Below are 22,753 nucleotides of genomic sequence, written 5' to 3'. Positions count from 1 at the left end.
CCACTCAGGTCTTTAAGTGTCCGTTTTGAATGGAAGGGATGATCAGGTTTAAGTATTTCTGTGAGCAGAGAGGATATTGTCATGGTGTGGTGTGAAAAGCACTGACTTTGGAATCAGACATCCCAGCTGGGCTGAGCCTTGATCTCTTCATCTGTAAAATGGAGCTGATAACTGCACCTGCTTTACGAAGTTAGATTGAATGTGGTCATCCCTCCCAGGCAGTGAGCACTCAGATGTCAGCCGTTGCCATTTGGGGAAATTATTGGGGCAGGAAACCCAGTGCCTTTGGACATAGTTGCTACTCAGTAAATACTGAGCCAAGTAAATGTGTTTGATAACCCCCAGTGGAGGGTCCATGGAGAGGAACTGCCAGCTGTTACCAGGCTGGAGTACCTCTAAGGTCTGTGAACTTGCAGCGATCACAAGCTAAATGTCCCCTGTAGTTCTGCAGATGTAGAAAACCTACCGGGTTCTGTCGTTATTTGCCAGGAACTAGATTTTCCTTTTGTAAGCTGCCCACAAAACAAGAATGACCTTCAATTACAGCAAAATCCAGTCTGTTGAGAGCCTCCTAGGACTATGGGGTGGGTGCTGTGGGCTAAGGCAACCCTGACTAGATTCAGAGCAGCTCAGCTCCAGGTGTCAGAGAAATGATTCTCCAGGTGTTCAGTCCTTAATGGTGTCGGACTCATTCTAGTTGCATCTCCTGGTTTAGTAGTCAGCATGTGGCTGTGGTGCGGGGAGTCGGCCCTGGGACTGGTGTCTCCCTTGGAAGCAGAGCCCATGATCTCCCAGATCATTCCAGCTAAATTGTACCCTTCTGCTGCTCTTTCCACTTGAATGGGCAGTTTTGCTTTAACGATATAAAGAAACACATTATTTCTAAAATGCCACCAGTACCCATAACGAGGTAGCAAGACTTGGAGGTGGCCGCTGGTGCTTTCTGGTACTAATGGGCTTTTTAAAACACAACTCACAGCAAAACAGGGCTGGTCACCACCACCTGGGAGAGGCTTTATTTCTTCACCCAAGGCGGGAATCTCATGTGTCAGCCCAGGGGAGCCGTGGCTGGAGGTTTGATCCAGGACCTGGACAACTGCTCAGTGATGGCCGTGGATTGCGAAGACCGGCGCTACTGCTTCCAGATCACCACGCCCAATGGAAAATCGTATGTTTCACGCGTTTTATTTGGGAGGAGAATGAGTATAGTGGTTCCACCCGTTCCAAGGGCCTCCTAGTTCATTCCTATGTGCCAGCCCTCTGTGGGAGAGGCCCCAATCTGGGTATTGTTGACCTTTCAGGAGGATGATTTTCTGCTCTCTTTAAACAAGCCCGCATGACCCATAAGGGATCCAGCCTGCCTTATCCCATATGGAGATAAGTGAGGGTTTGTCTGTGGCTTTGGAGAAGAGATGACCTACGTGTGTGAGACAGCAACAGAAGTCGTGCTTGTTAGCATAGATTCTCAGAGAGAGAAGGCTGTGGCTACTCCTAGCCTGTTGTAAAGAAGCATTTGTGTTTGGATTGCAGCAGGGGAGAGTAACTATTTTGGTAAGGACGACCTTCCTGAGAAGGCCATTTTTCCAGCAGAAGCAGGAGTTGTGAGAAGTGTACTCCACTGCAGCAGCATCGTCGGCTGCCAGGCTGTTCCCACATGTCCTGTGTACCTGAGGGGCCCCAAAGAGGTGGTACTTTACCAATCCGCAGGCTGTGGCCATTCACAGTAGATCCCATCCCAGTGGGATCCCCTCTCAGAGTGGTGGTTTTTAAACTGCTCCAAGGAGTTCAGGGTCCCATGGAGGGGCTTCAGGGTCCCATGGAGGGGCTTCAGGGTTCACCTGCCTGGGGAGAGGAGTGGCCCTGCCCGTCATCAGAGCCGCTCTTCTCACACTGCATTCTATTAAGATTTGACCTGAACAGCAGGGGTAGGGGTGGGGACGGCATTGGGATGATGTCTCTCCTCCCAGCTTGGCAGAGCAGCTTTAGACCTCATCCTTCCTGCTTTGGTGATGGGAAATGACCTGGGAATGGAGATTCCTGGATGCTCATCATGGTCCTTTGCAGTTACCTCCTCTGGGCCTCACTTTCCTCAGATATAAAATAGGGATAAGATCTATGTTACTCCATCTGCCACAGATGAGAGGAACAAGGGAACTGGCAGATGTGGGGTCTCTTTAAAAAGTTAAAGCCTCGGCTGGGTACAGTGGCTCACGCCTATAATCCCAGCACTTTGGGAGGCCGAGGCAGGTGGATCCCCTGAGGTTGGGAGTTTGAGATCAGCATGACCAACATGGAGAAACCCCGTCTCTACTGGAAATACAAAATTGGCCGGGCACGTTAGTGGTGGCGCATGCCTGTAATCCCAGCTACTCAGGAGGCTGAGGCAGGAGAATCGCTTGAACCTGGGAGGCGGAGGTTGTGGTGAGCCGAGATCACACCATTGCACTCCAGCCTGGTGCAACAAGAGCAAAACTCCATCAAAAAAAAAAAAAAAAAAAAAAAAAAAAGAGTTAACGCCTCCACAAAGGTAGGGCAGTATTACTGTTACCTTATTCCCGGGCCTCCATACGCAGCAGACTTTTCAGTTCTGGGAAAGGAGTGAATGGGCTGCCAAGTCCTTCTTTGGGCATGGTTTGAGGAGTGGCTGGGCTTGGAGTCCTGGTCATCTTGGATCATTAGAGGAGGTCAACAGGTGGATCTCACTGTACAAACACAGATTTGGGCTAGAAGATCCGAGTCCCGCCTTCTCATTTCATAGATGAACATGCTGAGGCCCAGGGAAACGGCCATGTTTGTCCAAGATCACATAGTGAATCAGGGCAGAGCCAGACCTACAAGCCCATTTTCTTTTTTCTTTTTCTTTTTTTTTTTTTTGTTTGAGATAGGGCCTTGCCCTATCACCCAGGCTGGAGTGCAGTGGCACAGTCACCACTCACTGCAGCCTCAGCCTCCTGGGCTCGATCGATCCTCCCACTTCAGCCTCTCTAGTAGCTAGGACTACAGGCACACGCCACCACGCCCAGCTAATTTTTGTATTTTTTGTAGAGAGGGGGTTTCACCATGTTGCCCAGGCTGGTCTCGAACTCCTGGGCTCAAGCCATCCTCCTGCCTCACCTTCCCAAAATGCTGGGACTGCAGGCATGAGCCACTGCACCTGGCCCTGGAACCCCATTTTCTTTCCCTCTCATCATGCTGCCTTCATGGCACTTTTCCTCCCACACCCCAGCTAAGTTCAGTTTATGTAGAGAAATTCCCAGTCACTGAGATCAGGGAAGCACTTAATTACTTAGACACTTTTGTTTCAGGGGAATAATCCTCCAGGCTGAGAGCAGAAAGGAAAATGAAGAGGTAAAAATTTTGTTTGTCATATTTCTTTCCTAACGTGGTGGGTGACTTTGGGATTCAGTGTTCTTTTTTAATGTCCTCTACAGTGGATATGTGCAATAAACAACATCTCCAGACAGATCTACCTGACCGACAACCCTGAGGTAATTATCAGCCACCGGCATCTCAGCCCTTTTCTCAACCTGGAAGGTAAGCGTCCACCTCCTGGGACTGAGTGTGTCTTCCTGTGGATTTTTAGGCAGTCGCGATCAAGTTGAATCAGACCGCTCTGCAAGCAGTGACTCCCATTACAAGTTTTGGAAAAAAACAAGAAAGCTCATGCCCCAGGTAACTAAAGGACAAAGAAAAACTAGCTTTTGTGGAGCCAAATTATTGATTAGGAATACGAAATGAGTTGTTGCTTAATCCACACAAACCAAGGCATGTTTTTCAGCCTGTTTAACAGAAGCAGTAACGATGGCTGGGAAAGGTTAAATACCTGCCTGTGTTCACACCACATTGTGAGTGGTAGAGCCAGGATTCAAGCCTGTCTGATGTCAGCATCCCTGTCCTTTCCACTGGACCATGCTGCTGCAGTCCAAGCAAACAGGACGTGCATGGAGGGTCCTCCTAGTCAGGAGTTCTCCCCACATTTTCTATCAGTGTCAACAAAGTAAGGGAACGAAAGCAAAAATGTTTTTAAAAAATAAGGAAAAAAAAATCGCCTTTTATGTATCCCATGTTAATGTCCACGCCTTATCTGAACATACAGTGATAGTTTTATATGTACATTTATTTTGTATTTGCACATACTTTTTTTTTTTTTAACTATTTCTACATTTTTCAGAATTGTTCCTTTTAGTAACTACACCCTATTCCATCATTTATTTTTTTACTTACTTATTTTTTAATTTTTTCGAGACGGAGTCTCACTCTGTCACCTGGGCTGGAGTGCAGTGGAGTAATCCCGGCTCACTGCAACCGCCACTTCCCAGATTCAAGTGATTCTCCTGCCTCAGCCTCCCGAGTAGCTGGGATTACAGGCGCCCACCACCACACCTGGCTAATTTTTGTATTTTTAATAGAGATGGGGTTTCACTATGTTAGCCAGGCTGGTCTTGAACTCCTGACCTCAAGTGATCCACCCGCCTCAGCTTCCCAAAGTGCTGGGATTACAGGCATGAGCCACTGCGCCTGGCCCATTCTACCATTTATTAACCATTGAATATTTAGGTTATCTCCCTGGCGTTTACTGTTATCATTTAGAGCAAACATTTTCATGCATACAGCTTTCCTCATTTTGAATAGTGCTTTAGGATTTATTCCAGGAATCCTACCTTTTGTCTTAATGGGAGTTTCCATCTGGTTAAATAGTAGAGGATTGTATTTTCATACTAATGAAAGCCTGGCATTAAAGGGTAAATTAAAATTACGACTATATTTGGTGTTCATCTTTTAGTGGCATGGTAGAAAGAACCCCATTACATTTTTTACAAATATCTAATGACCCCAGAAGGAAGTCATTAGAAAACTCAGTGGTTAAGTAACTTCCCAGAATCTGTGCAGTGTGGAGCCAGCGTTCACATGCCGGGCACGGGGTATCTGAGAAGGAATGGGAGAAGGTAAGGCCAGAAAATAGGTTTGAGTCTAACTGGAAAGACCTGGGTGCCCTGCTTAGGAGTTACAGGCAATGGAGCAAAATGGAAGGTTTTGAGAAAATGGGCGATGGTCAGAACCAGGGTTAGGGAAGACTATTCTGTACCTGAGTAGGATAAATTTTAGGATACAGGTTGTGGGAAGAAGGGGAGAGTGCAAGACCCAGTAGGATGTTGATGTAGTAGTAGCTGTGAAGCAGAACATGAGAACGTAAACAAATGTTTTTAAAAAAGAGGAGAAAGAGGCAACAAGTCCGAGAAACATTTCAGCACCGTAACTTAAGGATTTAACAGTTGATACAAGTAGCATGCTTTATGAAATGGAACTCTAAGGAAGACACTATATGAAAGGAAGTGGAACTAAAGATCCAGTCAGCGAGGGTTAATCCCGTAGCCTTCTCCTGGGTAAATGTATGTCTTCTCTTTGTAAAGTTACAAAAATGTTTGATGTGCACAATGGAGGGAATACCAGACCTGCAGTTGAGAGACATGGGTTCTAACGATATCTCTGCCTTGTGTTATACACAGCTAGATGTCCCTGAGTAAGTCAGTAAATGCTCTGGGCCTTTGTCTTCTCAGCCTTGTGACATACAGGGAACTAGCTAACCTCCTAGGACCCTTCTAGCTCTGATATGCCATCTCTCAAGGGTGTTGATGGATAGTTTAGGGGGGTTTGGAATTAGAAGGTGTGATACGTTTCCTAAAAAGACAATTTGCAGCCTATATTTAATTATTCAGTAACTGACTTTTCCCCCTATTCTAGAATAAGCAAGTCACATTCTTAGACCAAAAGGACCCCACAGAAGGGACACAGAAGACTCCCTGGGGGGAAAAAAAATGACTCTAGCCAGCCAGCTGAATTAGCCCAGTGATTGGATGGGTGACAGATGTGGCTGCCAGATGGCCCCAGAGCTGTGGGGAGAGGGATACTATCTCTTTTAGGGTCAGCCCACTGAGAATAAAGCAATGTTTTGATGACAGTGGGGGGGGAAAGAATCAGAGAAATTGTGTTCTTGGGAACAAACTGCTATTTACTTCTAAGCAAGTACCATGTGTGGACTTCCCTCATTCTGCAGTTACTATATATCTGCTGTTCATTCATTTATCTAGCTACTCAACAAATATTTGAGTATCTACTATTTGCCCAGGCCTGGCCTAGGTAAGAAAACGCAGGGATTACTGGGGAGAACAGGCAAAAGGTAAGCACAGGCTGAGTTAAAATGAGGGAAGCACCCCAATGTTAAGGAGATGAGGTGCTGTCATGGAGGGTGAAGAGGAGACCTGTGCAGGGCCTGGCTGTGAAGATAATATTCAAGCTGCAAAGTGAAAGACAAGACGCAGCCACTCTTGCAAAGAGCCAGAAGTAGTGTATTCTTGGTAGCAGTTGTGGAGGTAACAGGACAGAGAAGATCTTAGTATATCTGAGGAACTGAAAAAAGGCAGTGTAACGGGACAGTGGAGATCATGGGACAGGATGAGGGCGGGTGGGGAGGGAGGCAGGGGTCGATCAAGAAGGAAGCATGTGGGGAGCTGTGGAAGGGCTCTGAGAGGTGCGTGTTTGTGATGGAGACAGAGATACCCACTCTCCATTTTCCAAAGTTAGTTAGCTCTGGCTGCTCTGGAGAGCACAGAACAGAGCAAGTCTGTAGCCAGTGAGGAGGCGTCCCAACAGCCCAAGAGAAGATGATGGTGGTTTAGACCAGGATCACGGCAGAGATGAAAAGTAGATGGATGTGGACTTATTCTGGAGGTAAAACCTGTGGGACTTTTGATGGATAAGCGTAGACGGAAAAGGACAGATCAAAGGATGACTTCAGTTGGAGCTGAACACCTGGGCAGATGGTGTTTTTTAAAAAAAAGAAGAGTTCATGTTTTGGACATGTTAAGCATGAGAGGCCTGTGAAACATCCCAAATGAGTTGTCAAGCAGTCAACGGATGATACAGGTCTGGAGTGCAAAGAAAACGTCTGGTCTGGGTGTATGAATCGGGGACTCATAGCACTGAACAGCAGTGGATGAGGTCCTCTATGGGAGAAAGGAGAGGGAGGGGAAAGCAGAGCCTGCAACAGAATCCTAAAGAACTCCAGCATTTAGGGTAGAAAAGGAGCCTGCCAAAGACATTGAGAAGGAACATCAAGAAAGGTAGAAGGAAACTCTGTAAAATGTGGCACCAGCCGAAACCGAGAGGAGAGTTCAAGGAGAGATCAGCTGTGTTAGATGCTTTAAGTCAATTATGATGACTGCGAAGTGTCCATTAGAGCTGATGACATGGAGATCCTGTACAGGTGAAACTTAACATCATGTCACTCCTATGTTCAGAGTCTTTGGTGGCTCCCTATACTGTTGTGTCAAGTTCAGACCCCACCTGACGGTATAAGGGCCCTCTACAACCTGGCCTCACCCTATCTTGATTGTTATCTATCTCCCCCCTTTGACTCTCTGGGGAGCCAAAATCTTAGACTCACTTTCTCCCCTTGAAGCTTCTACTCATAGCTTTCTTCAGTGCTTACCACTTATTATATCACAGCCCTCTCTTAAAGACAGGATCAAACAGATGTGACTGTCCCATTTAGGGTTATTGAAGCAGTATGACATCCTGGAGATGCACTCTCCTGGCAGTGAGGAGACCCCTGTTTATAATCTGGCTCGCCCACCAGGTAACTGAGTGCCTTCAAAACTGCTCAATTTCTCCAGAGGCCTCAGTTTCCTTTTCTGTTAACAATGGAGGTCAGACCAAGTGGTCTCCAAGGGCTTGCCTTGCAGTGACCATCTACAAGCCTATGTACTGTTTCATCCACATTCCAGTCATTATGATCATTTGTCAAATGCCTGTTGTAAAGTAGTTTGATACACTACATTCAGTTATTGACATGTTTGAGAAATAGGAAAATATTGACATATCAAATGAACAGAAAGATCACTGAGAGCTTTTTAAGGTCCAGGCAATGAAAGAAATCAAAATACATTGATATTCTTTGCCCTTCAAAGGAGTTTATAGTCTGGCTGAGGAGAAAAGATTTTTAAAACGTTGAAAAGTTAAATTACAGTATTCTGAGACTGGAGGAGAAGAACATGTTGGTTCCTGATTAGTCTGTCCACAGAGAGCACAGTATTTGATGGGCCACAATGTCAGCAATGAGTGTGGGCACAATGCGAAGCTCAGGAGGCACACAGGGCCGCAAGACTGTGCCTGTGACTTACTGAGAAGAATCACAGGAGTTCAGAGGAGGGAGGCGGGGTGCCGGCTGGCCTAGTGGATAAGGAAGAATTTGAGCTGGGTTGGGAGAGTTGGGTGAGCAGCAGAATTGGGATAAAGATGGAAATAAGGAAAAGCATGTGGTATGTGTGGTACAGCTCTCGTAGAGGGTGCATTAAAGGAGTGGAAAGGGAGGCTTTTGGGGAAATTAGAGCCAGATGGTGATTAAATGCCAAGCCAGGACCTTTGGTTCATTCAGCTAACATTTTTTAGTGCCTACTATGTTCCAAGAATACATATGACTTAGCTATAGCATAGGCCCTCCAAAACCTGCCTCACAGAGAAGGATACAGACAGAAAACTAGTAACACAGTGCAGGATGCTGTGCAGCAGAGAGAACTGCAGGAAATGGGGCAGACTGAAGGTTTTTAGCCAAGGATATGAAGGAAGTTTGAAGAAGGTTTATTTGTAGAATGGATTAAGGGATTGAGGTCAATCTTTCCCCTTGTATTTTCATTCATAAAAGTCACCTCAGCCTTCAACAAGTATTCACTTGATTATAAAAGCGTAAGGTTAAGGGAATTGATTTTTTTCCCCTTCAGCCAGAACCTGAAAAATTCAGAGATGGAAAATGAAAATGACAAGATTGTTCCCAAAGCAACAGCCAGTCTACCTGAAGCAGAGGAGCTGATCGCGCCTGGAACGCCGATTCAATTCGATATTGTGCTTCCTGCTACAGAATTCCTTGATCAGAACAGAGGGAGCAGGTATGGGCTGAGAGAGGTTATCTCTGGGAGAACTGAAAGTAAATTTGAGGTATCTTGTGTCCCCCTCCACCACCAAAGACTGTTGCCATTCTGATTTCCAGTTCAAGTGTTAAGTGCCCTTCTAGCTGCAGCTGTCGTGTTTGTTCAACTCTGGCTATTCCCCTAGGCGTACCAACCCTTTTGGTGAAACTGAGGATGAATCATTTCCAGAAGCAGAAGGTAAGTGACTAGTTTGGTGTCCTTATTCTTTCCTCTGCACAAAATGACAACGGCCATTGAAATAAGATGTGAAATCATGTTTTAGAGAGCTATGATTAGGAGTATGAATTAAGATTTGTTGTTCTGAAAGTTTAGTAAGATATCTGCAGTGGAGGCAAGTCTTGGATAAAAACTGAGGGGTAGCTGAAAGACCACCTACAGCTATTTCACCATTAGCCATAGCGTTTTTGTAGCATAGCATAGAAATGTTGTGAAATCTGAATCTGTTATCACATTCAAATGCAGTCTTGGTGAACTGGAAATACGCTGTGTCATTTTAGAAAACCAAAAGCACAAATAACTTGTTCTTGAATTTGAAGATGACACAAATGATATTTAAGTCTTTCAAATTCAAATTTTTGGTTTTTTACATTCTTATAATGTACTTAAGAACGTATCTGATGGCCGGCACGCTGGCTCACGCCTGTAATCCCAGCACTTTTGGAGGCCGAGGCAGGTGAATCACGTGAGCTTAGGAGTTCAAGACCAGCATGGGCAACACAGTGAGAACCCTGTCTCTACAAAAATATATATATATATACAAAAATTAGCCAGGTGTAGTGACAGGTGCCTGTAATCCTAGCTACTCAGGAGGCTGAGACATGAGAATCACTTGAACCTGGGAGGCGGAGGTTGCAGTGAGCTGAAATCATGCCATTGCACTCCAGCCTGGGCTACAGAGTGAGACCCTGTCTCAAAAAAGAAAAAAAAGAAAAAACCTTCTTTGGTCTTCTAGTTATGGTTGCTGGGAGTCAGTTTTGTCAAGTTATGCGCCACTGTCAGCAGCCAGGACTGACTTCCTTTAGGCTATGAAACATCATCACTGCCTTTCCGTAATACACATGAAGTATGAATTGCATGAGACCCAACATGAGATCTTATATCCTGCAAATAAAATTTCTTTTCTAAGAGGACTTTATCAGTGGGCCAAAGTAATGAATTTTCTATTGTCTAGTGAACTCACTCTTTTCAGAGAAAAGGTACAATGTAGTCACCTAGAGTTTCAGCATTAGAAGGATGTTCATCTGGTACCACCATCATTTCATTTTATAGATGAAGAAAAGCCTTTCTAGTCTAATGAAGTAGTTCCAAACAAACTGACAAGATGTAGACAAATGGAAGACGCAGAGCTTTGGCAATATTGGGCTTATAAAAGTGGTATTGAGAAATTTTGGTAGAAAGTCCTCCACAGAAAGCAGGCAAAACTAGCACATCTGACCCTGGTATGCAGATCAACAGCAGCAGGAAGTAAATGAGATCCTGAGTGGAAAATGCTGTCTTCCAGATTCTCTTTTGCAGCAGATGTTTATAGTTCGGTTTTTGGGATCAATGGCAGTTAAAACAGACAGCACTACTGAAGTGATTTATGAAGCGATGAGACAAGTATTGGCTGCTCGGGCTATTCATAACATCTTCCGCATGACAGAATCCCATCTGATGGTCACCAGTCAATCTTTGAGGTACGTTCAGTTTTATTTTCAGACTTTCTTATGGCTTCAGCTAATTCCCCTTTTAAGGCTAATGCACCCATCTGAAATGTTAGTACTGGAATGAAGAGACTACTCTTGCTTTTGCCCCCACTACTTTTTACATAAGATAGATAGCCTAGAAAGTGCTCCCTTAGAGACAAGAACTGGTATCTTCAAAAATCCAGTGGTGAGTGAATACTGTTGTTCACAAAGATGCCATCACACTAGACTTATTCTCTATATTATAGCTCAGAGCTTGAAAATGGAAGTTTTTTGGTTTTGCTTTTTTTTTTTCATTTCTGAGAGTACTATTTATAAAAAATAATGGAAAAAAACTTAAAAATCTGCCTAAATAACTTGGCCATCACAGAGAGAGCAGGCCATATTAACTACATGATTTAGTGTTTCAGGTAATACGATCTGGGTTTCAGATATGACCAAAATCCTGGTTATGAACATGGGTGTATGATACTGTAGCCACAGGTAGCATCTGCAGCAAAACTAGCCTGAACTGAGATGTGTTTTCAGTGTTAAATACATACCAAATTTCTAAGATTTAGGATGTAAAACATCTCACTAATTTTTTAGGTTAATCACATGTCTGGTAATATTTTAGATATACTGGATTAAGTAAAATTAATTTTATCTGTTACTTTTCACTTAATGTGGCCGCTGGAAAAACTTCGATGACATATAAGGCTTCCATTACATTTCTAAGGGACAGCACTGCTTTAGAGCCAGAATGTCTCAGTTTATTCCTGGCTTCGGCATTTCTTAGTTATGTGACCTTAAGCAAATTTTTGAGCCTCTGTACCTCAGTTTTTTCAGCTGTAAAATGAAAGTAACTATTCACACCCTCCACTGTTGTCATGAGGAATAAATGTCATGAGGAATAAATGTGCTAATATATGTAAGACATTTACAACTCACTGGCACATGAAAAGTGCTCAATGAACGTTAGCTTCAAAAAAGGTAACTAGGACTATAGCAAAAATTAGGATATAGCTTCTTCCATTCATTAAGCCCATCCTTTTCATTTATTATGAACCTTATCTGAGAATTAAGTTCTTATTAATAAAACCTGTTCTTTCACTATGTCCTGGACCTTTTACAGAAATGGGCTCATGGTTCTTATAATCCTATTGGTCCTGGAATAATTTCCACCAAAAAGATCAAAGGAAAATATATGTAAAAGTACTGTGAAAAACCACAGCACATCAAAGTGAAAAGAAAAACTACAGAATGGGAAAAAAGTATTCACAAATTCTATCTAATATGGATGTAGTACACAAAATATACAAAGAACTCTTATAAAACTCAACAGAAAGACAACCCAATTAAAAAATGGACCAAGGACTTGAAATAGACATTTTTCCAAAGATCATATACAAATGGCCAATGAGGACATGAAAAGATGCTATGTGTTACTAGGGAAATGCAAAACAAATCCACAATGAGATATGTCACTCCATATTAAGATGGCGTGCGCACGCATGCACACTGTCTCACAGATGTTTATATATATATGATATATATGATATATATATGATATGATATATGATATGATATATGATATATATATGATATATCATATATATGATATATATGATATCGATATCATATATATGATATATATGATATATATATGATATATATATTTAATGGAAAATAAGCGTTTAGCAAGGATGTGAAGAAACTGGAACCCATTGCTGGTGGGAATATAAAATGGTTCAGCTGCTGTGAAAAAATAGTTTGGCGGGCTCCTGGGTAGTTACCCAAAAGAATTAAATACAGGTGTTCAAACAAAAACTTATACGCAAATGTTCATAGCAGTCCTTTTCGTGATATCCAAATGGTGGAAATAATACAAATGCCCAACATCAAATGAATGGATCAACAAAATGTGGTAGAGTTGAGCATTCCAAATCTGGAAATCTCAAATGCTCCAAAATCTGAAACTTTTTGAGTGCCAACTTGATGCTCAAAAGAGATGCTCATTGGAGCATTTTGGATTTTGGGATGCTCATCCTGGTAAATATAATGCAAGTATTCTAAAATCTGAAAAAAAAGCTGAAATCCAAAACAATTTCAGATACAGGATACTCAACCTGTATATATATATGATGGAATACTATTTGGCCTTAAAAAGGAACAAAGGACTGATAAGTGCTACAACATGGATGAATGATGAAATCATTGTGCTAAGTGAAAGAAGCCAGGTACAAAAGGCAACATACTGTAGGGTTCTGTTTATATGAAATATCCAGAGTAGGCAAATCCATAGAGACAGAAGACAGACTAGAGATTGCCAGAGGGTGGGAGGAGGAATGAGTAACTGCTTAATGGGGATGGAGTTTCCTCTGGGATGATAAAAATGTCCTGGGACTAGATAGTGGTAATGGCTGCACAAAGTTATGAAGACACTTAACATCACTAATGATAAATCTGACGTTATGCATACGTCACCACAGTAAACATACCCCTGCAGTGGAATAGGTTCTGAGACCATTTAGAGGTCACACAGAAAATTAGAAGATTTAAAAAGAAAAATTGATTCCCAGACAAGGTGCCTGAATAGGAACAGCTCCAGTCTGCAGCTCCCAGTGAGACCAACACAGAAGGCAGGTGATTTCTGCATTTCCAACTGCGGTACCCAGCTTATCTCACTGGGACTGGTTAGACAGTGGGTACAGCCTATGGAGGGCAAGCAGAAGTAGCGTGCGGCATTGCATTACCCAGGAAGCACAAGGGGTCGGGGAACTCCCTCCCCTAGCCAAGGGAAGCCGTGAGTGAGGGACAGACCTATCCAGCCCAGATACTAGGCTTTTGCCACTGTCTTTGCAGCCCGCAGACCAGGAGATTCCATCGAGTGCCTACACCACCAGGGCCCTAAGTTTCAAGGACAAAACTGGGCGGCCATTTGGGCAGACACTGAGCTAGCTGCAGGAGAATTTTTTTCGCACCCCAGTGGCGTCTGAACCTCAGCGAGTCCCAACTGTTCACTCCCCTGGAAAGGGGGCTGAAGCCAGGGAGCCAAGTGGTCTTGCTCAGTGGATCCCATCACCACGGAGCCCAACACACTGAGATCCACTGGCTTGAAATTCTCACTGGCAGCACAGCAGTCTGAAGTTGACCAGGGATGCTCGAGCTTGGTGGGGGGGAGGGGCATCCGCCATTACTGAGGCTTGAGTAGGTGGTTTTCCCCTTAGAGTGTAAAGAAAGCCATCAGGAAGATCATACTGGGCTGAGCCTGCCGCAGCGCCATAAAACTGCTGTAGCCAGACTGCCTCTCTAGATTCCTCCTCTCTGGGCAGGGCATCTCTGAAAGAAAGGTAGCAGCCCCCAGTCAGGGGCTTACAGATCAAACTCCCATCTCCCTGGGACAGAGCACCTGGGGGAAGGGGTGGCTGTGGGCGCAGTTTCAGCAGACTTAAATGTTCCTGCCTGCCAGCTCTCAAGAGAGCAGCAGGTCTCCCAGCACAACGCTTGAGCTCTGCTAAGGGACAGACTGCCTCCTCAAGTGAGTCCCTGACTCTGGTGGTTCCTGACGGGGAGACACCTCCCAGCAGGAATCGACAGACACCTCATACAGGAGAGTTCCAGCTGGCATCTGGTGGGTGCCCTTCTGGGATGAAGCTTCCAGAGGAAGGAGCAGGCAGCAGTCTTTGCTATTCTGCAGCCTCCACTGGTGATACCCAGGCAAAGAGAGTCCGGAGTGTACCTTCAGCAAACTGCAGCAGACCTGCAGAAGAGGGGCCTGAAGGAAAACTAACAAACAGAAAGCTATAGCATCAACATCAACAAAAAGGATGACTACACAAAAACCCCACCCAAAGGTCACCAGCATCAAAGACCAAAGGTAGATAAATCCACAAAGATGAGGAAAAAGCAGCACAGAAAGGCTGAAAATTCCAAAAACCAGAATGCCTCTCCTCCTCCAAAGGATCACAACTCATTGCCAGCAAGGGAACAAAATTGGACGGAGAATGAGTTTGAAGAATTTACAGAAAGAGGCTTCAGAAGGTGAGTAATAACAAACTCCTCCAAGCTAAAGGAGCATGTTCTAACCCAATGCGAGGAAGCTAAGAATCTGGATAAAAGGTTATAGGAACTGCTAACTGGAATAACCAGTTTAGAGAAGAACATAAATAACCTGATGGAGATGAAAAACACAGCACGAGAACTTCGTGAAGCATACACAAGTATCAATAGTCAAATCGATCAAGTGGAAGAAAGGATACCAGAGATTGAAGATTAACTTAATGAAATAAAGTGTGAAGACAAGATTAGAGAAAAAAGAATGAAAATGAGTGAATAAAGCCTCTAAGAAATATGGGACTATGTGAAAAGACCAAACCTATATTTGATTGGTGTACCTGAAAGTGACAGGGAGAATGGAACCAAGTTAGAAAACACTCTTCAGGATATTATCCAGGAGAACTTCCACAACCTAGCAAGACAAGCCAACATTCAAATTCAGGAAATACAGAGAACACCACAAAGATACTCCTCGAGAAGAGCAACCCCAAGACACATAATCATCAGATTCACCAAGGTTGAAATGAAGGAAAAAATGTTAAGGGCAGCCAGAGAGAAAGGTCACATTACCCACAAAGGGAAACCCATCAGACTAACGGCGGATCTCTCTGCAGAAACGCTACAACCCAGAAAAGAGTGGGGGCACACATTTAACATTCTTAAGGAAAAGAATTTTCAACCCAGAATTTCATATCCAGCCAAACTAAGCTTCATAAGCAAAGGAGAAATAAAATCCTTTACAGACAAGCAAATGCTGAAGGATGTTGTCACCACCACACCTGCTTTACAAGAGCTCCTGAAGGAAGCACTAAATATGGAAAGGAAAAACCAGTACCAGCCACTGCAAAAACATACCAAAATGTAAAAACCATCAGCACTGTGAAGAAACTGCATCAACTAACAGGCAAAATAACCAGCTACCATCATAATGACAGGATCACATTCACACATAACAATATTAACCTTAAATGTAAACAGGCTAAATGCCCCAATTAAAAGACACAGACTGGCACATTGGATAAAGAGTCAAGACCCATCAGTTTGCTGTATTCAGGAGACCCATCTCATGTGCAGAGACACACATAGGCTCAAAATAAAGGGATGGAGGAAGATTTACCAAGCAAATGGAAAGCAAAAAAAAAAAAAAAAAAAAAAGCAGGGGTTGCAATCCTAGTCTCTGATAAAACGGACTTGAAATCAAAAAAGACAAAGAAGGGCATTACATAGTGGTAAAGGGATCAATGCAACAAGAAAAGCTAACTATCCTAAATATATATATACCCAATACAGAAGCACCCAGATTCGTAAAACAAGTTCTTAGAGATCTACAAAGAGACTTAGACTCCCACACAATAATATTGGGAGACTTTAGCACCCCACTGTCAATATTAGATCAACAAGACAGAAAATTAACAAGGATATTCAGGACTTAAACTCAGCTCTGGACCAAGTGGAACTAACACACATCTACAGAATGCTCCATCCCAAATCAACAAAATATACATTCTTCTCAGCACCACGTCACACTTATTCTAAAATTGACCACATAATCGGAAGTAAAATACTCCTCAACAAATGCAAAAGAACAGAAATCACAACAAACTGTCTCTCAGACCACAGTGCAATCAAATTAGAACTCTGGATTAAGAAAGTCATTCAAAACTGCACAACTACATGGAAACTGAACAACCTGTTCCTGAATGACTGCTGGGTAAATAAATAATGAAATTAAGGCAAAAATAAATAAATTACTTGAAATCAATGAGAACAAGGACACAACATACCACAATCTCTGGAACACAGCTAAAGCAATGTTTTTATAGCACTAAATGCACACAGGAAAAAGTGGGAAAGATCTAAAATTGACATCCTAACATCACAATTAAAAGAACTAGAAGGTTGGGCACCATGGCTCATGCCTGTAATCCCACCACTTTGGGAGGCCAAGGCAGGTGGATCACCTGAGGTCAGGAGTTTGAGACCAGCCTGGCCAACATGATGAAACCCTGTCTCTACTAAAAATACAAAAAATTTGCTAGGTGTGGTGGCAGGCACCTATGTAATCCCAGCTACTGGAGAGGCTGGAGCAGGAGAATCACTTGAACCCAGGGAGGTGGAGGTTGCAGTGAGCCGAGATCATGCCATTGCACTCCAGCCTGGGCAACAAGAGCAAAACTCCATCTCAAAAAAACTGGAGAAGCAAGAGTAAACAAATTCAAAAGCTAGCAGAAGACAAGAAATAACTAAGATGAGAGCAGAACTGAAGGAGATAGAGACACGAAAAACCCTTCAAAAATCAATGAATCCAGGAGCTGGTTTTTTGAAAAGATTAACAAAATTGATAGACTGCTAGCCAGACTAATAAAGAAGAAAAGAGAGAAGAATCAAACAGACACAATAAAAAATGATAAAGGGGATTATCACCACTGATCCCAGAGAAATACAAACTACCAACAGAGAATACTATAAACACCTGTATGCAAATAAACTAGAAAATCTAGAAGAAATGGATAAATTCCTGGACACATACACCCTCCCAAGATTAAACCAGGAAGAAGTTGAATCCCTGAATAGACCGATAACAAGTTCTGAAATTGAGGCAATAATTAATAGCCTACCAACCAAAAAAAAGCCCAGGACCAGATGGATTCACAGCCACATTCTACCAGAGTTACAAAGAGGAGCTGGTACCATTCCTTCTAAAACTATTCCAAACAATAGAAAAAGAGGGACTCCTCCCTAACTCATTTTATGAAGCCAGCATCATCCTGATACCAAAACCTGGCAGAGACACAATAAAAAAACACAATTTCAGGGCAATACCCCTGATGAACATCAATGCAAAAATCCTCAATAAAATACCAGCAAACTGAATCCAGCAGCACATTAAAAAGCTTATCCACCATGATCAAGTTGGCTTCATCCCTGGGATGCAAGGCTGGTTCGACATACGCAAATCAGTAAATGTAATCCATCACGTAAACAGAACCAATGACAAAAACCACATGATTATCTCAATAGATGCAGAAAAGGCCTTCGATAAAATTCAACACCCCTTCATGCTAAAAACACTCAATAAACTAGGTATTGATGGAACATATCTCAAAATAATGAGCTATTTATGACAAACTCACAGCCAGTATCATACTGAATGGGCAAAAACTGGAAGCATTCCCTTTGAAAATTAGCACAAGACAAGGATGCCCTCTCTCACCACTCCTATTCAACATAATATTGGAAGTTCTGGCCAGGGCAGTCAGGCAAGAGAAAGCAATGAGGGTATTCAAATAGGAAGAGAGGAAGTCAGATTATCTCTGTTTAAAGATGACATGATTGTATGTTTAGAAAACTCCATCGTCTCAGCCCAAAAACTCCTTAAGCTGATAAGCAACGTCAGCAAAGTCTCAGGATACAAAATTAATGTGCAAAAATCACAAGCATTCCTATACACCAATAATACACAAACAGCCAAATCATGAGTGAACTCCCATTCACAATTGCTACTAAGAGAATAAAATACCTAGGAATACAACTTACAAGGGATGTGAAGGACCTCTTCAAGGAGAACTACAAACCACTGCTCAAGGAAATAAGAGAGGACACAAACAAATGGAAAAACATGCCATGCTCATGGATAGGAAGAATCAATATCGTGAAAATGGCCATACTGCCCAAAGTAATAGTGCTATTCCCATCAAGCTACCACTGACTTTCTTAACAGAGTTAGAAAAAACTACTTTAAATTTCATATGGAACCAAAAAAGAGCCCGCATAGCCCAGATAATCCTAAGCAAAAGGAACAAAGCTGGAGGTATCATGCTACCTGACTTCAAACTATACTACAAGGCTACAGTAACCAAAACAGCATGGTACTGGTACCAAAACAGATATATAGACCAATGGAACAGAACAGAGGCCTCAGAAATAACACCAAACATCTACAACCATCTGATCTTTGACAAACCTGACAAAAACAAGAAATGAGGAAAGGACTCCCTATTTAATAAATGATGTTGGGAAAACTGGCTAGCCATATGCAGAAAACTGAAACTGGACCCCTTCCTCTTAACACCTTATACAAAAATTAAGTCAAGATGGATTAAAGATTTAAATGTAAGACCTAAAACCATAAAAACCCTAGAAGAAAACCTAGGCAATACCATTCAGGACAGAGGCATGGGCAAAGAGTTCATGATGAAAACACCAGAAGCAATGGCAACAAAAGCCAAAATTGACAAATGGGGTCTAATTAAACTAAAGAGCTTCTGCACAGCAAAAGAAACTATCATCAGAGTGAACAGGCAACCTACAGAATGGGAGAAAATTTTTTCAATCTATCCATCTGACAGAGGGCTAATATCCAGAATCTACAAAGAACTTAAACACATTTACAAGAATAAAACAACCCCGTCAAAAAGTGGGTGAAGGATATGAACAGACATTTTTCAAAAGAAGACATGCGGCTGACAAACGTGAAAAAAAGCTCATCATCACTGGTCGTTAGAGAAATGCAAATCAAAACCACAATGAGATACCATCTCACACCAGTTAGAATGGCGATCATTAAAAAGTCAGGAAACAACAGATGCTGGAGAGGATGTGGAGAAATAGGAACGCTTTTATACTGCTGGGAATGTAAATTAGTTCAACTATTGTGGAAGACAGTGTGGCGATTCCTCAAGGATCTAGAACCAGAAATAACCATTTGACCCAGCAATCCCATTACTGGGTACATACCCAAAGGACTATAATCATTTTCTATAAAAACACATGCACACTATGTGTATTGCACCACTATTCACAATAGCTAAGACTTGGAACCAACCCAAATGCCCATCAATGATAGACTGGATAAAGAAAATGTGGCACATATACACCAAGGAATACTATGCAGCCATAAAAAAGAATGACTTCATGTCCTTTGCAGGGACATGGATGAAGCTGGAAACCATCATTCTCAGCAAACTAACACAGGAACAGAAAACCAAACACCGCATGTTCTCACTCATAAGTGGGAGCTGAACAATGAGAACATATAGGCACAGGAAGGGGAACATCACACACTGGGGCCTGTTGGTGGGTGGGTGTCAAGGGGAGGGATAGCATTAGGAGAAATACCTAATGTAGATAACGGGTTGATGGGCGCAGCAAACCACCACAGCAACATGTATACCTATGTAACAAACCTGCACGTTCTGCACATGTATCTCAGAACTTAAAGTATAATAATAAAAAAAGAGAAATCTAGGTTACCTGATTTAAACAGCAAACTTCTGAAAGTGACCCACAAAATATGCATGTGTTAAGTTTTCACTTATAAGGGAATTTTACAAAATACCTATGAAAGTTATTCCAACTTGAGGAAAACTGTTTATGATCTATATTCAAAAAATTAAATTCATGCCCATTAATAGGGACGTAAAAGTAACTTTTCTTAAGCTTTGTCTACTTAAATTCCCATACACACTTCTCATTAACTGTCATAACCACCTCTTGGAAGTGGGGGTTCTTACCACAGTTTTACAGATGAACCAGTTGTAAGAAGTCCGGGTGACTTGCACAAGATCAGGTGAGTAGCCAGGGTAGAACTCAATCTCGAGTTCTCTGATTATAAGTCTTACGGTTTAATAAGTGTAACTGCACGTATTTCCAACTGTAGCCTTTTGTTGGGGGCATGGGGGTGTAACAGTTTTACTGAGATATAATTCACATACAATTTAAATGTACAATTCAGTGGTTTCTAGTATATTCAGAGTTGTACAACCATCATCACAATCAATTTTACAACATTTTCATCACCTCAGAAAGAATACCCATTAGCCCCTGGCAACCCACCCAGCCCTAGGAAGCCACTAACCACTAAAATTGCCATCTCTATAGATCTGGACATTTAACATATAAATGGAATCATAACCATTTTTTCCACAAACTATATTTTTGCTTTCACCTATAAAATGTATAGTAATAATTTACATAATAGCATGTTAATTATTCCAACACGAGTACAATACAGTAGAAATTTATAACCACTTATCTAAGATAGCAATAAATTCTCTCATATAGTTTATTTTCTAGGATATGTCAACCTGATTATTAGATGATGCTTAAAATACTGTTGAAGAAATATATTCTGAAGGCCTGGCGCGGTGGTTCATGCCTGTAATCCCAGCACTTTGGGAGACTGAAGCAGGCAGATCCCCTGAGGTCAGGAGTTCGACACCAGCCTGGTCAACATGGTGAAACCCCACTTCTACTAAAAATACAAAAATTAGCCAGGCATTTTGGCTGACACCTGTAATCCCAGCTACTCAGGAGGCTGAGGCAGGAGAATCGCTTGAACCCGGGAGGTGGAGGTTGCAGTGAGCCAAGACTGGGCTGCTGCACTCCAGCCTGTGTGACAGCAAGACTCTTCTCAGAATAAATAAATAGTAAATAATTAAAACAAGGAAATATATTTTGGAATACTTTCTTAAACATTATTCCTCTTTTACCCAAATTGATAAGAGTTTTGTCAAAATCCCTTCACTATTTTGTCACCGCTACCTCATCTTTTTCAATAATGTTAAATTTAGACTAAGTTGATCTTGCACTTCAGGGACATTAAAGTTGCCAATGGATGTTTGTTGAGAGGGAGGCTGTACAGAATATAATCCATCCATATTATATAGCAGATCTGTTGAGGATTATAATGCTGTCTGTTTGGGTAAGTTGCAGAATCCTGTGAAGTTAAATCTTCTACTTGCTATATAATCTTCCATTATAGGTACCCTGAGCTTTAGCTACACAGGTTCCTTAAAGGCAGAAAGCAGGACACGTGGTCACACACAGCTATCTCGCCTCACCCTCTAACAGGCTTTATCTCTATTTCGGGGAATTTGTATTTATTCTGGACTTCTACAAACTCTTCTAGGAATATTAAATTTATCCAACATTTGTGACATAATGTATCTTTTAAAATTTCAGGTTGATAGATCCACAGACTCAAGTATCAAGGGCCAATGTAAGTACCGCATACAGGTTCATGTTAGTGATTACTCCTTAATTCACCTTTGTATCTACCTTAAACACAGCCTAGGCACTTTATTAATAAAGATCTGCCACTAATAGGACTAATAGGATACTTTTTCTCATGACTTTTCCAGAGAGTAGCCTTGTCAGTTTTTAATTCTAGTAGTTGTATGATCTGTTGCCTTTTTTTCCACCCCCCAGTTTGAACTTACCAGTGTCACACAATTTGCTGCTCATCAAGAAAACAAGAGACTGGTTGGTTTTGTCATCCGTGTTCCTGAATCCACTGGAGAAGAATCTCTGAGTACATACATTTTTGAAAGCAACTCAGAAGGCGAAAAGGTCTCTTTTTCATGTGAAGATCCCATAATATCCCAGTCCAAACAAGTCCATTTTAAAAGAGTTTTCTGGCATTACTTCCTTGGATATTTAGTTGATTATTCTGCATGTCTCCATCCAGGAGTTCAGATAATACCTCCTAAGAAGGCCTCACTGAAAGAAAACTCGATTTAAATTTCTCTGTGGAAAATACCTATCAACCAGAATAGGGTGAATGAGGAAGAAATTTCATGGCAAGACATATTATTTAGTCGGGATATAAGGAAATGTTGAAAGCAGTTCCCCTCAAATTTGTTCTTTAAAAAAAATTAAGGCAAAAGCTACAATAGAGAATAATTTAGTCTCAGAGAGAAAACCAAGGAAGATATTAGAAAAGTTACACACAAGCTGTTGGTTTAGTATGAAAAACTTTTGACTCTATCTGCTACTTAGAATTTATCACAATTAACCAATCCTTTCAGTAAATTATCTGTTTGCCACTGTGTATATGGACATATCGTGGCTAAATACATTTAAGAGAGAGAAGAAAAATTCCTATTAAGAACTTTTAACACTGGAATTACCTGAGTTTCACTTACCTGGAATATTTTTTGTGTGGCATAAATTGGCAACAGAGGTCAGGACAGTTGGACGCAAATGCCCCGGGCCCTATGTGATGAGTCTCCTGCAGCCAGGTCCTGTGTTCCCAAGTGGGAACAG

At 42.1% G+C, this 22,753-nt stretch overlaps 1 protein-coding gene across 14 annotated transcripts in view; it reads left to right on the top strand.

Annotated features, from left to right (window-relative positions):
* APPL2 (adaptor protein, phosphotyrosine interacting with PH domain and leucine zipper 2) overlaps positions 1 to 22,753 on the top strand; it is a 62,875-nt gene that overhangs the window by 37,242 nt on the left and 2,880 nt on the right. For 8 of the 14 annotated variants that reach the window (NM_018171.5, NM_001251904.2, XM_017019551.3 and 5 more), the window contains 9 exons: positions 980 to 1,168; positions 3,306 to 3,348; positions 3,432 to 3,488; positions 3,584 to 3,672; positions 8,778 to 8,942; positions 9,109 to 9,161; positions 10,486 to 10,660; positions 21,671 to 21,707; positions 21,917 to 22,057. In NM_018171.5, coding sequence (NP_060641.2) covers positions 980 to 1,168; positions 3,306 to 3,348; positions 3,432 to 3,488; positions 3,584 to 3,672; positions 8,778 to 8,942; positions 9,109 to 9,161; positions 10,486 to 10,660; positions 21,671 to 21,707; positions 21,917 to 22,057 — 949 coding nt within the window. Of the gene's footprint in view, positions 1 to 979; positions 1,169 to 3,305; positions 3,349 to 3,406; positions 3,489 to 3,583; positions 3,673 to 8,777; positions 8,943 to 9,108; positions 9,162 to 10,485; positions 10,661 to 21,670; positions 21,708 to 21,916; positions 22,058 to 22,753 lie in introns of those variants that run through there. The other 6 variants (XM_017019554.2, XM_006719472.2, XM_047429065.1 and 3 more) reach the window with 2 other exon arrangements.

This window comes from Homo sapiens, chromosome 12, assembly GCF_000001405.40.
Source record: "Homo sapiens chromosome 12, GRCh38.p14 Primary Assembly".
Lineage (NCBI taxonomy): Eukaryota > Metazoa > Chordata > Mammalia > Primates > Hominidae > Homo > Homo sapiens.
Note: the sequence above shows the minus strand (reverse complement) of the source record. Positions and strands in the feature narration are given on the sequence as shown.